The sequence below is a fragment of the Homo sapiens genome, chromosome 10 (assembly GCF_000001405.40).
Source record: "Homo sapiens chromosome 10, GRCh38.p14 Primary Assembly".
Classification (NCBI taxonomy): Eukaryota; Metazoa; Chordata; class Mammalia; order Primates; family Hominidae; genus Homo; species Homo sapiens.
In genome coordinates, this window is record NC_000010.11 from 28,728,068 (window position 1) to 28,742,356 (window position 14,289).

Below are 14,289 nucleotides of genomic sequence, written 5' to 3' on the forward strand. Positions count from 1 at the left end.
GTGTTCAGTACAGCACCGAGAAGCCAGAGACTTGGTCTCCAACAAGACTTCTGAACATTTGGAACATGGTTCCCTTCCCTCTTATGGCATAAATGGGACTACAAAATGCTTCTCAATGAATACATGCCACTTTTCCTCCTTTGCTTTGTGATGGCAGTATTTCATGGAAAAGAATCCTGTCATATCATATATCTATGTGGATCTTTCCAGTGAATTAATTGTGCAAATTCCTTCTCTGCTAGAGAAATAAATACTTCTGCAAAACATTTACCTTACCTAATAGTCTAATCTTAGGCCAACAGAGCAGCAACATCTGCCAAACAGAAAACCCCTGATAATCCAGGATTAAATAACATTAATATTATTTTTTGTAGGCCAGCAGGATTGTCCAGAGGACCAGTGATAATAAGGATTTATGAGGGAGGAGAGGCCCTGCAGAAGATAACACTACAATAACATTCTGTGTTTATATTGGGCAAAGGGGACAGGACACATTTTCTACAAGCGCAAACTTCAGGATGGAAATGTTAATACCTTGTATTTGTAGAGTGCATTGGAGCTTGTGAGTCACCTTCACACACAAGAACTCATCTATTAGGCTCCTCATCTGTGAAGGTTCCCAGGTGGGTATTATTCTCATGCATGAGACAATGGAGGTTCAGCAAGGTAAAGTGACTCAGCTAGTAGGTAGGAGAACTGGGTTTAAAATCTAGGTGTTTAGGTTGGTCACGGTGGCTCACACTTGTAATCCCAGCACTTTGAGAGGCTGTGGCAGGAGGATCACTTGAGTTCAGAAGTTCAAGACCAGCCCCACCCACATAATGAGACCACCATCTCTACTAAAGATTTTTAAAATACATATTTTGCCAGGTGTGGTGGTGTATACCTGTAGTCCCAGCCACTTGGGAGGTCAAGGGGGGAGGATCGCTTGAACTCAGGGGTTCAAAGCTGCAGTGAGCTATGATTGCACCACTGCATTCCAGCTTAGGTGACAGAGTGAGACCCTGTCTCTAAAAAAATAAATAAATACAAATAAAATAAAATCTAGGCTGGGCACGATGGCCCACGCCTGTAATCCCAGCACTTTGGGAGGCTGAGGTGGGTGGATCACAAGGTCAGGAGTTCGAGATCAGCCTGGCCAATATGATGAAACCCTGTCTCTACTAAAAATACAAAAATTAGCCGGGCGTGGTGGCAGGCACCTGTAGTCCCAGTTACTCAGGAGTCTGAGGCAGGAGAATTGCTTGAACCCCGGAGGTGGAGGTTGCAGTGAGCCGAGATCACGCCTCTGCACTCCAACCTGGGTGACAGAATGAGACAAAACAAAAAACAAAAAAACAAAACAAAACAAAAATCTAGATGCTTTAATTCCTACTTCAATATTATTTTTCCTACATTTCCAACAATAAGGAATATCTAGAATGGATTGGTGATGCTTGATGAGTCTCTGGTTAAGATTTTCAAAATAAAATCTGTAGCATAGAATGAAACATTGAGTTTGTCCACAGGAACACGGCTCCAAGGGGACCTTTTCCTTGAAAGATCTCTGGAATGTTCACTTGCCCTAAGAAGGAACATCTCTGTTGCTTGTACATCAAAGAAAAGAAGGGAAAAGGAAAGAGGAGGCCAGGCATGGGGGCTCACGCCTGTAATCCCAGCACTTTGGGAGGCTGAGGCAGGCAGATCACCTGAGGTCAGGAGTTCAAGACCAGCCTGGCCAACATGGTGAAACCCCGTCTCTACTAAAAATACAAAAATTAGCTGGATGTGGTGGCACAATTACAGCCTGTAATCCCAGCTACTTGGGAGGCTGAGGCACGAGAATCGCTTGAACCCGGGAGGCAGAGGTTGCAGTGAGCCAAGACCGCGCCATTTCACTCCAGTCTAAGCAACAAGAGTGAGACAAAAAAAAAAAAAAAAAAAAAGAGCAAAAAAGTCGTGGCTCAAGGCAAGATCGGGTGGTAAATAAGAGTTGATCTGGATTTAGAGCTAAGGTCCTTTTGAGAATTTTCTCCCTGAGGCCGCAGTTGAAGATTCATTTTGGGGTTGCCCTGTTCAGCAAGGAGGCTCTGAGGAGTGCAAGGGTGTGGGGACTTCTAAGAATGTGTTTTTTGAGTCAAAATAGAAACTTTTCCTTACATTCTGACTCACAGGGGATTAGAAGGTAGTGCATGGATTAGACGAAAATGCCTCAGTTAAGAATTTAATCCTGTTAGGCAACAGTAAGTCACTATTTTTAAAGGGTTTTGTGCCAAAAAGTAGAAAGGAAAAAAAAAAGTGGCATCCACAGTTTGCAGGAGATAATTGTTTCTAAAGAGCTGCTTGCTTGAGGCCTCTTGAATGCTACATTTTCTTCCAGGTTCTTCTAAAGAGAATAATGGGTTTAAATTGGGGGTGTGAGCGCTACCTTGGCTAGGGGTTACCAGTGGGGCTGTTTTGGCTTCAGGTGATGCCCAGGGCTGGAGCTGGAAGAGATGAGAGGAGCCAGGAGTGAGGGATTCTGGCTTCCTATCCTGTTGTCAGAGTTCAGTTATGCAGGGGAATGAGACAGAAAACGAAACCAAATGTTTACACTGATTTTGACTTTGTAGACTTGACAGTCGATTAAAATCCGTCCAGTGCCTTTTTCCTTTCCTTTTCCTTTCCCCTTTCCTTTCCTCATTCCTTCCTTCCTTTTTTTTTTTTTGACAGAATCTCGCTCTGTTGCCCAGGCTGGAGTGCAGTAGCGCAATCTCAGTTCATTGTAACCTCTGCCTCCTGAGTTCAAGTGATTCTCCTGCCTCAGCCTCCGGAGTAGTTGGGATTACAGGCGCATGCCACCACCCAGCAAATTTTTGTATTTTTAGTAGAGATGGGTTTTCGCCATGTTGGACAGGCTGGTCTCGAACTCCTGACCTCAGGTGATCCCTCATCTTGGCCTCCCAAAGTGCTGGGATTACAGGCATGAGCCACCGTGCCCGGCCTGTTTGCTTGCTTGCTTTCTTTTCTTTTCTTTCTTTTCTTTTCTTTTCTTTCTTTTCTTTTCTTTTCTTTCTTTTCTTTCTTTCTTTCTTTTTTCTTTCTTTCTTTCTTTCTTTCTTTCTTTCTTTCTTTCTTTCTTTCTTTCTTCCTTCCTTCCCTCCCTCCTTTCTTTCTTCTTTCTTTTCTTTCTTTTTTTCTTTCTTTTCTTTCTTCTTTCTTCCTCTCTTTCTCTCTCTGTTTCTCTCTCTCTCTCTTTCTCTCTCTGTCTTTTCTTTTCTTTTCCTTTTCTTTCTAGACAGAGTTTCACTCTGTCACCCAGGCTGTAGTGCAGTGGCATAATCTCGGCTCACTGCAACCTCTGCCTCCCAGATTAAAGCAATTCTTGTGTGTCAGCCTCCCGAGTAGCTGGGATTATAGGCCTGCACCACCATGCCTGGTCAATTTCTGTATTTTTTGTAGAGATGGGGTTTCTCTATGTTGGCCAGGCTGGTCTCAAACTCCTGGCCTCAAGGGATCTACCAGCCTTGGCCTCCCAAAGTGCTGGGATAACAGGCGTGAGCCACTGCGCCCAGTCTTCTTGTTTCTATTGTTACAAGACTCATTTTGAAGGGTAAGGACTTTGCTTAAGATCTGTTTTGTTTTTCCCTTTCTGTTGTATTTATTTATTTTGTGACAGAATCTTGCTCTGTCACCCAGGTAGGAGTGCAGTGGCATGGATCTCAGCTCACTGAAACCTCTGCCACCTGGGTTGAAGCGATCCTCCCACCTCTGCCTCCCAAGTAGCTGGGGTTACAGGCACACACCACCACGCCCACTAATTTTTGTATTTTTCTGTTGAGACAGGGATCTCGCCATGTTGCCCAGGCTGATCTCGAACTTCTGAGCTCAAATGATCCTCCTGCCTGGGTCTCCTTAAGTGCTGGAATTACAGGCGTGAGCAACCTTGCTCAGCCTCAGTGGTATTCTTGCTTTCAGCACCACAGATACATTCATTCATTCATTTACTCTCTTAATTTACTAAGTACCTCAAATGTGCCAGAAATGGTTCTAGGCACTGGGGACACAGTGACCAAGACACATCTAATCTCTGCCTCTAGGAAATTATATTCTAATGGAAGGAGCTAAAAAATGAGTGAGCAAATGCAGTAACTGGTAAGTCTATAAGTCCTGCAGAGGGAAATAGGCAGAGAAAGTGTTGACCGGCTGGGCGTGTGTGTAGCCAGGAGAGTGAGGTTGCTATTTTAAGTAGGTGGTCAGGAAAGGCCTCGCTGATAACCTGTGTCTCACCAAGAGCTGAAGGATGTGAGGGAGTTGTGTGATGTCTGGGGTGAAACAGTTCCAGGCGGAAGAAACCCCAAAGGCACAGGCATTTACGTGGGAACATGTGAGGGGGGCCGGTTTTCAGAGCTCAGTAAGTGCTTAGGAGAGGCGTAGGGGACGCAGTTGGTGTGGGATGCTTGTGTGTTGCGAGGTAGATTATCAAAGGCCTTGTAGGCCTCGAAAGGGCTTGGTCATTTACTCTGAAGGAGGTGGGAAGCCTCTGGGGGATTTTGGATAGAGGAATGCCATGACTGACCTGTTATAAAAAGACCACTCTGGCTGCTGTGTTGAGAGAAAAACTGCAAGAGGTGATGGAAAGATTGGTTAGGAGGCTGTTAATAATCCGGGTGAGAGATGAGAAGGCTTAGATCAGCGTGGCTGGGATGGAGGTGTGAGAAGTGTTGGATTCCGATCTATACTTTTTTTTTTTTTTTTTTTTTGGGACAGAGTCTCGCTCTGTCGCCCAGGCTGGAGTGCAGTGGCTTGATCTTGGCTCACTGCAACCTCCGCCTCCTGAGTTCAAGCAATTCTCCTGCCTCAGCTCCCCAAGTAGCTGGGATTACAGGCACCCATCATCACACCCGGCTAATTTTTTGCATTTTTACTAGAGACAGGGTTTTGCCATGTTGGCCAGGCTAGTCTCGAACTCTTGACCTCAGGTGATCCGCCCACCTCGGCCTCCCAAAGTGCTGGGATTACAGGCATGAGCCACTGAGCCTGGCCTGATCTATTACTAAAGTAGAGAAAAAAAGATTTGCTGATAGATTGGATGTGGGCATGAGAGGAAAAAAAAGTGGAGGGAAGTTGGGTGTGCTGTCCCATTAAGTGGGGGACCCAAGAGAGCCATTCTCCTGACAAAATGAGTTTCTGCTGGCGAGCCCAGGGGACAGCAGTATGGTGCCCAGGAATAAGACAGGACCCACCTTTCTTACTACAGACTTCTTTCTAGGGAGCTAAGACAGGGTGGGTCCCCAGCTCTACAACTATTCTATCTATCTGTCTGTCTATCTATCATCTATCTATCTATCTATCTATCTATCTATCTATCTATCTATCTATCTATCTATCTAATCTATCATTTATATCTATTATCTATCTATCTATCTATCTATCTATCTATCTATCTATCATCTCATAAGTTAATTTTTGAGTATGTAATCCATTCACACCCAACAGGTATGGAAAAGAAGGGTATTTTTTCCTATGATTAGCTCTTTGATATACTTACTATTTTTATAATTCTTTCTTTCAAATTTATTTCTGCTTTTATTTGCTGTTTATTCTGCCTGCTTTTTCCTATGATTAGCTCTGTTATATACTTATTAGTTTTATAATTCTTTCTTTCAAATTTATTTCTGCTTTTATTTACTGTTTCTTCTGCCTGCTTTTTCCTGATTTAGATGCTTTATTTATTTCAATTCTTCTTGTATGCATTTAAGGCTACACATTTCCCTCGTAGCACTGCTTTGGATGTCCTTTGTGCATATCATATGGCTTCATTAGCTCTTTAGAATCATTCACAAAGCCTCTTCTCAAGGCATGAGCCTGTCACCAGGCTAAATCAGGACAGATTTAAGTCATGAACCAGGGTCAATGCTCATCTTGTTCCTCAGCCCTTACCTAGGGAGTTACCTGTGTGCTTCTCCTTCTGCCCTCAGGGAGAATTCTCTCTCAGGGACCTCATTGTCCTGTTAAGCCCATCAGATATATTTAAATGATTTTGAATAGCAAGGGGAAAAGATCTCTTTCTCTGCAAGAGTCTTCCTGTTCCTATGTAAATTCCTGGGGCAAATAGGTGAGTGGGCAGAAGAATTCTGTCCAACTCCACTCACAGCACTCATAGTCCAAATCCCAGTAGGTTGGGGTAGTGGCTGTTGAAGAACCCCACCTCACCCCTAGAGCTGCTGCCCATGTATCCTCTTGCACCTACATTATTTCATTTAAGCTTCATGATGATTTTGCAAGGTAGTAATTTCAATCCCCATTTTCACAGACAGATACAGGTGCTTAAGAAGATAAAACAACTTACATGTGTTTACACAGCAAGTGCCAGAAATGGGATTCAAACTCAGGCCTGCTTTCAAATATGGACCTCTTCCACTCTACCAGGATGCCGTCCCAAATTTTTTTTTTTTTTTTTGGTTTTGAGACGGAGTTTCACTCTTGTTGCCCAGGCTGGAGTGGTTTGATCTTGGCTCAGTGCAACCTCTGCCTCTCGGTTTCAAGCGATTCTCCTGCCTTAGCCTCCTGAGTAGCTGGGACTACAGGTGTGCATCACCACCCCTGGCTAATTTTTGTATTTTTAATAGAGACGGGGTTTCACCATGTTGACCAGGCTGGTATTGAACTCCTGACCTCAGGAGATCTGCCTGCCTTGGCCTCCCAAAGTGCTGGGATTACAGGCGTGAGCCACCGCACCCAGCCAACCTTCCCAAAAGTTTTAATACTCATGCTTCAGTTATGCAATTGTGTCAGGAAGTGATGCATCCTTTCTAAATTATGTTTTGAGATAATCAAAGCTTAGCCTTTTAAGCACCAACATTTTGTAAACTTTTGTAGACAAAAATATTCGTAGAATGTGTTACATATTTTTCACTTTCTTAAACAGAGCATGCTGGACAGATTTTAAACTTTGCTTGATGATTCATGTCATGTTTAAGAGCATCAATTATTATGTAATGCCATATTATAGGGAGTTTAAGTATCTTGCCCAAGGCTAGACAGCTGTTAAATGGGGAAACTGTTCAAATGCAGGCAGTCTGGCTACAGAGCCCATGTTCTTAGCAACTATGCTATCATGCCTCACCAAGTGCTCAAAAGAATTAGAGATCGCTGTGGGCTGGAGATGAGTCGTCCCAATAGTATTGGTTGCTCTGGCAAAGAGCAGGGAGGCAGAATCTGAAGCCATCCAGCAAACTTAGCAGGGGTGGAGATCAGGGTCCACTTTGCTGACATTTCAGAATAGAGAAATGCCATGTCATAGCAAAAGTCCAGGAAGAACCAGATCAGAGATAGAGGGGTGAAACAAAAAGTGGATATTGGCCAAGTGTGACTCATGCCTCTAATCCCAGTGCTTTGGGAGGCTGAACTGGGAGGATTGCTTGAAGCCAGGAGTTCGAGACCAGCCTGGGCAACATGATGAGACCCTGTCTCTATAAACAATTTTTACAAAGAAAATATTAGCCAGGCATGCTGGCATGCACCTGTTGTCCCAACTACTCAGGATCCTGAGGCAGGAGGATCGCTTGAGCCCAGGAGTTTGAGGCTGTAGGAAGCCATGATTGTGCCACTGCACTCCAACCTGTGTGACAGAGTGAGACCCTGTCTCTAAAACAAAACAAAACAAAACAAACAGACAAACAAACAAAACCCAAAACATGACTATCAAGGAATCTATGCATAAGAACCTGAGATGAAAATCACATGTTAGAGTTTCTTGTGGGAGGAGGAGTGCTGATAAATGGCACCTGTTTTTCCTGCTCAAGTTCTGAAAAACCTGACAGGTCCAGAGTAGCAGATGGGCCACAGTTCTCCTTTATTTTTGTTCAAGGTTAAATTGGAAGCCATAGCTCACTGCAAGAACCAAATGGACCTGTGAAGTAATTCCAAAATTCAACATACTTACCCCACACTCATGTAGGCACTGGACCAGGTAAAACTTACAGCATGGAGAAACAGAGGACTCTTGGTGCTTGCAGTTAAGTTCACTTCCAAGAGGGAAAAGGGTGTAGCTGATCCAAGAATGCCTATGACCATAAGAAGTACATTGCCCGATGTGCAGCAAGTCAGTATACCAACACTGAGGGTTGCAGCAGAGAAAGAGGTTTAATCGTAAGGCCGCTGAACAAGGAGACAGGAGGAAACCTCAAATCCACCTCCCCAAGGAGTTTGGGGCTAGGAATATACATAAATGCAAGTATAGGACTTGCATTTATATATATTTCTATATTCCTATATTTGCATATATGTATAATATATATATTATATATATAAAAATGGAAGTTAGGACTCTCTCTCTCTCTCTCCGTAGGTCTTGCCTTCCTCCCACCTCAGTCTCCCGAGTAGCTGGGACTACAGGTGTGTACCACCATGTCTGGCTAATTTTTTATTTTTTGTAGAGATAGGGGTCTCACTATGCTGGCGTGGCTGGGGGGCCAGGGATTTTAATGGGTTTAGAGTGGATTGAGCTGTAGGGATTTTTCATGGGTTGAAGAGTGCAGGGTGAAGTCATAGGATGGGGTGATGAAGAAGCTATTTTCATGCGGACTCGGTTCCTCTGTGGGGTCTTCAAACTGGTTTGTGTCAGCCGTTTCACTAGAATGCAGGGTCTGAAAAGCATCTTAAGTAATTCTTAAACAAAAGCTTTATGATTCTATCATCAGAGATCCTATCTACAGGAACAGTGGGGATGCAAAAGGTCTGTATCTGGTGCTATGTGACTTTCAGTTACATGGAAGTGGGCAAAGTGCAGCCTGATGAATGCTTAATTGTAACCTTATTTCTGTCCAGAACCTGCCATGGAATTCTTGTTAACCCTGTGATGATGGTTTCATGCCCAGTATATTCTTCTCAGAAAAGTGTTTCTACCTCCTCTTAGACAGAGTGAATAAGAGACGGTGAGAGGCCAGATGTTATATTAATGTCTTGATGGTCATCCTTTTCATGGAGGAAGCACCAGAAGTTCCCCTTGTGGAGTTCTAATTAGAGAAAAGGAGTTGGGCTGGTGGGACCAAAGGAATGCAAAAAGAAGCAGATAAGCTACAAATCTGCCCTTCTTCATGATCCAAGACACATAACCCTCCTGCACAAGTAACTTACAATCTTCCTGCACTCAGCTATCACCAGACCCTCAGCTGATAGAAAAATGCAAGTTAGCTCGCTGCAACCTTGGCAATATCAGTACTGCATAAAGCCCTCTTCAGCACAAGCACAAACACTATTGTTTAAAATCCCCAGCAAGCCTTTGTCTCCTGACAGTCAGCTCCTTTTTGCTGGCCTGCCTGTTGCTCCCCTGCAACGTATTTTTCTACTTCCTCTAATAAATCTGCCTTTCTTTACCTACAACTGTCTTGGTAAATGCTTTCATCACTGGCACCACTGGTCTAGATAGTCACCACTCATCCATGACACCCCTTACCTTATAGTGAATAGATTTTAGCTGTGTATCCTGTAACTTTTCAACCATACCATGGTTCGCTAGAATTGATAACACTTTTCAACCCTATCCCGATAGTAGTTGTCAGGAAATGCTAGTGAAAGAGTTTGGAATTAAACTAGCATTCTAGCCGAGCATGGTGGCTCACATCTGTAGTCCCAGCTAATAGGAAGGCTGAGGCAGGAGGATCAATTAAATCCAGGAATTCAAGGATGCAGTGAGCTATGATTGTGCCACTGAACTCCAGCATGGGTGACAGAGCAAGATGCCATCCCTAACAAAAAACAAAAGCAAAAGAAAAAACTGAGAGTCCAAAGATGTGTTTGATTTAAATAAGTAGAAAGAGCAAGATCATTATTCTAGACAGAAGGAAACAATTTGAGCCAAGAAATATTCATTCTGTATTTAGGGGACAAATACATGAGCTGACTAATTTGAAGAGTTTCTAAAAAGCTAAGTTTGAGCAAGCCATGCCTGGCGAAGAAGTTGAAGGTTTCCAGCGATCACATGTGGAATCAGATGGTCTGACTACTGAGCTTTCTATCTTTGAAAAAACCCTGTGGATGTATAAATGTTCTACAATTTTATGCCAGTCATTTGCCTGTTTGCTATCAGATTCATTCTCTACCCTTCCCTTGCTCTGGTCTGTATTGTAGGAAAATCATTTTCCAGAATTTCCATAATTGCCTTCTGGCTGGGTTTGGCCAATGGGAGGCACTGGCATGAGATTGGAGGGTAAGTGGTAGGAAGAGATCAAGGCACATTTTGTCCTCTCTTTCTGGCATCTCCAATAGTAATCATGTCTCTTCTAGGTTCCTGATCCCAGAAGATGTCCCTGCGGTGGTTCCACCTTCCACCAGCTTCTGCCAGATCCTGGACTCCAGGAACACTGCCCCCTTCAGGCCAACTTTTTGGACTTCCTCACTGTCTTCTGAGCCCCCAGGTCTTCCAACACTTTTGCAGCCACTTCCCTGTATTAAATGCCCTCTGTTTGAAATATCTAGAATAATTTTCATTTTCATGGTTGGACTGATTCACCACTTTCCCTCCCACTCAAATTCAGTAAGATCTACTATCTTATGACAGATATCTACCCACTCATTGCTTCCCGATGCAGACATAAACTTGGATCCCAGGCCGTGGAAGAGCAGGTCAAGGTTTGCTCCTTAGAATTGTTGCTTTGGTGACATGTGGAGAAGGATGGTGGTTGCTGAGACTAGAGGAGACTTGTTGAGAGACAATTGCAATGATTCAAGAGGGAGAGGACAAAGGTGTAAAGTCAGACTGTTTCACTGCAGAGGTAGAGTGGGGAAAGGGACACGAGAGATGCAGAAGAGGCAGAATCAGGTCCCTGATTGGATGGGGCATTTTGGGAAGATGAAGGAGGCTGGAATGATTCCCAGGTTCCTCCAGAGTGAATGGATGGCACTTGTGTTCTTGACTGAGCTTGAGGACACAAGAAGAGGGGCAGCAGATCTAGATGGCTAGGAAGATCATGAGTTTGTGGCACGTTGAGTTTGGGGGGCATGTTGTACTCAGGAAAGGGCAGGAGAGAGATGGTTTAATGTCACAGCATAGGTGATAAGAGATCTATGGATATATAGGTGAAATCCCCGGGAGATGTGGATAGAAAAGAGTTAAAGGCAGAACATGGAAGAGCCTCAACATGGACAGAGAAGGCAGAGGACTGAGTTGGAACAGCCCGAGAGCTCAGAGGAGAGCCAGGGAAGAGCAACATCATGGAGGCCAAGGGAGAGCATGGTTCAAAAAGGGAATGGTCACTGTGTCAAAGCCTGCTTTTAAAGCAAACTAAATATGGCCTGAGAAGGACTCCATACTTCTATATTTGAGTCCTTGTGGATGAACTGTAACCTAGCTTAATAGGCAGACAAAATTGAAACCCTAACTTCACAGTATGCACCTGTAACAATAGCTAAGTCTTGGCCAATCCCAGCGGCCATACTTCAACCATTCATACACTGCTGAGTGTTCAAACTGTGTTCAAATAAGTCAAATGCCAGCCTGTAACCAATCCAACCACTCTGTACCTCACTTCCAATTTCTGTACGTCATTTCTCTCTTTTTTGTCTATAAATCTTCTTTCACCACGTGGCTGTGCTTGAGTCTCTGTGAATCTGCTGTGATTCTGGGGGCTGCCTGATTCACATATCATTCATTGCTCAATTAAACTGCTTTAAATTTAATTCGACTGCAGTTTTTCTTTTATCACTGCACAATGGCCAAGAAGGATCAGTCACAGGAATTGACTGCTAGGAGGATATGTACAGATGTGGGTAAGTGACAGATGTAGATACTCAAGCTTGAATAAGTTTATGCCTGATGGCTACACACACACACACTCTCTCTCTCTCTCTGTGTCTCACACAAACACACACACACAGACACCTGTTTAGAGTTATATTTTAGGCAAGAAAGATGGTATCTATTATACATCATCTGGTTGCTCTAGTCTAGAGGAAAAGAGTGAGCAGATTTTGGTTGGCTTTTTCATTTTCTTCTCTACACACATGTAACGCAGGGGTCTCATCAAGAGATCAGGAAAATCTCAAGGGGTCAGACCTGTGGCCCCAATCTGCAGAGAAAATGAGGAGCTGTTGGTTAAAGTCCCAGTTGATGGGGCCAGAGCTGTTGGGCTGCAAAACCAACCTTCCTTCCTTTCTTCCTTCCTTCCTTCCTTCCTTCCTTCCTTCCTTCCTTCCTTCCTTCCTTCCTTCCTCTCTCTCTTTCTTCTTTCTTTCTTTTTTCTTTCTTTCTTTCTTTTTCTTCCTTTCTCTCTTCTTTCTTTCTTTTCTTTCTTTCTTCTTTCTTTTTCCTTTTTTTTTTTTTTGACAGAGTCTCGCTCTGTCGTCCAGGCTGGAGTGCAGTGGCATGAGTTCGGCTCACTGCAAGCTCCACCTCCCAGGTTCACGCCATTCTCCTGCCTCAGCCTCCTGAGTAGCTGGGACTACAGGCGCCTGCCACCACGCCTGGCTAATTTTTGTATTTTTAGTAGAGATGAGGTTTCACCATGTTGGACAGGCTGGTCTCGAATTCCTGACCTCAGGTGACCCTCCCACCTTGGCCTCCCAAAGTGCTGGGATTACAGGTGTGAGCCACTGCTCTGGGTGCCACTTTCTCCTGTAAGGTGCTTTGAATAATTTGGTGTCTCTAAGAGTTCTGAGAGTTGTCTGGGCTTTCATTTTTGGTTCACCGAAGCAGGACTGATGAACACAGGGCCATTCAGGTGATGGGCATTTCCTGGTGTCACATGGGAAGATGCTGCTGATACCCAAGCAGACACACGGAGCGGTTGATTAGTGTCACCACTCAGATGGTTTTCAACATCATTTTACCACCAAGACTGCAGGCCCAGATTCTCCTAAGCCAAGAGAGGTGAGGTGTAGGGTGGTGGGTATGGAGGAGTTTGTGGGTGGCTAGTAAAGGACAAACAACAAGTAACATCTTCTGGCTTAGAGTCCTCTCAAATTATCTGAAATGATATTGCTTGGAGCCTCCTTACCCTTATATTGCCCCTTAGTCCACTGGGCAGAGCAGAGGTGCCAAGATGTAGAGTGGAGGAGAGTTTGGGGGCGCAAGGGGTTTATGGAGTCATTAACAAGAGCGTTGATCCTTCATAGGTGGAGGTGGCTGTATCCCCAGGAATCCCAGAGAGCCTGTCATAGATGCTTCTTTGTGGCAGTGGTCAGGGTTCTCACCTGGGCTGTAAATTGGACTCCTCTGGGGAGCTTAGACAACACCAGGCCTGACCCCCATACCCGCCCCATCCTCCTCTCTGCCCCTGATTTGTGCTTCTGTTGGTCTGGAACAGGCCTAAGCATCAGAGTTTTTAAAAAGCTGCCCAAGTGTGGCCAGGGTGAAGAATTTTTGAGTTCTAGGTTATTCTTTTGGGCTTTTAAAGGGTATGAAGCTTCCTACACAACAAAGGAAATAATCATTGACGTGAAAAGGCAACGTATGGAATGGGAGAAAATATTTGCAAATTATCCATTTGATAGGAGGTGAATAGCCACAATATATAAGGAACTCATATAATTCAGAAGCCAAAAAACAAATAACCCCGTTAAAAAATGATAAAAACATTTCTCCAAAGAATTCATACAAATGGCCAACGAGCACATGAAATGTACTTAATTAATATCACTAACCATCAGGAAAATGCAAATCAAAACCAGAGTGAGCTATCACCTCACACATGTTAGGGTGACTATCATCAAAAAGACAAAAGATCAGCATTGGCAAGAATGTGTGGAAAAGGGAAACGTGCACAGTCTTGATGGGAATGTCAATTAGTACAGGGAGGTTCCTCAACACACTCAAAATAGAACTCCCATATGATCCAGCAATCTCAAATCTCAGTATATATCCAAAAGAAAGAAAATTACTATCTCAAAGAGATATTTGCACTTCCAAGTTCATTGCAGCATTATTCACAATAGCCATGATAAAAACAACCTACGTGTCCATCAGTGGATGAGTGGATAAAGAAAATGTCATAAACACACACACATTATGAAGTATTACTTAATTAATTATTATTATTACTATTATTATTTTTTGAGACAGAGTCTTACTCTGTCACCCAAGCTGGAGTCAGTGGCATGATCTCAGCTCACCGCAACCTCTGCCTCCCGGCTTCAAGTGATTCTCCTGCCTCCGCCTCCCAAGTAGCTGAGACTACAGGCGCACAACACCACGCCTGGCTAATTTTTGTAATTTTAGTAGAGACAGGGTTTCACCATGTTGGCCAGGCTGGCCTCGAACTCCTGACTTCAAATGATCTGCTGGCTTTGGCCTCCCAAAGTGCTGGAATTACAGGCGTGAACCACCATGCC

The 14,289-nt window shown here is 44.0% G+C and overlaps 1 annotated feature.

Moving 5' to 3' along the window:
• Positions 353-647: a silencer, noted in NCBI's record as "tiled region #10738; HepG2 Repressive DNase matched - State 7:EnhWF, and K562 Repressive non-DNase unmatched - State 23:Low". NCBI's record gives its function as "represses a minimal TATA promoter and a strong SV40 promoter by Sharpr-MPRA in HepG2 and K562 cells {active_cell/tissue: HepG2 | K562}" and the evidence as "EXISTENCE:reporter gene assay evidence [ECO:0000049][PMID:27701403]".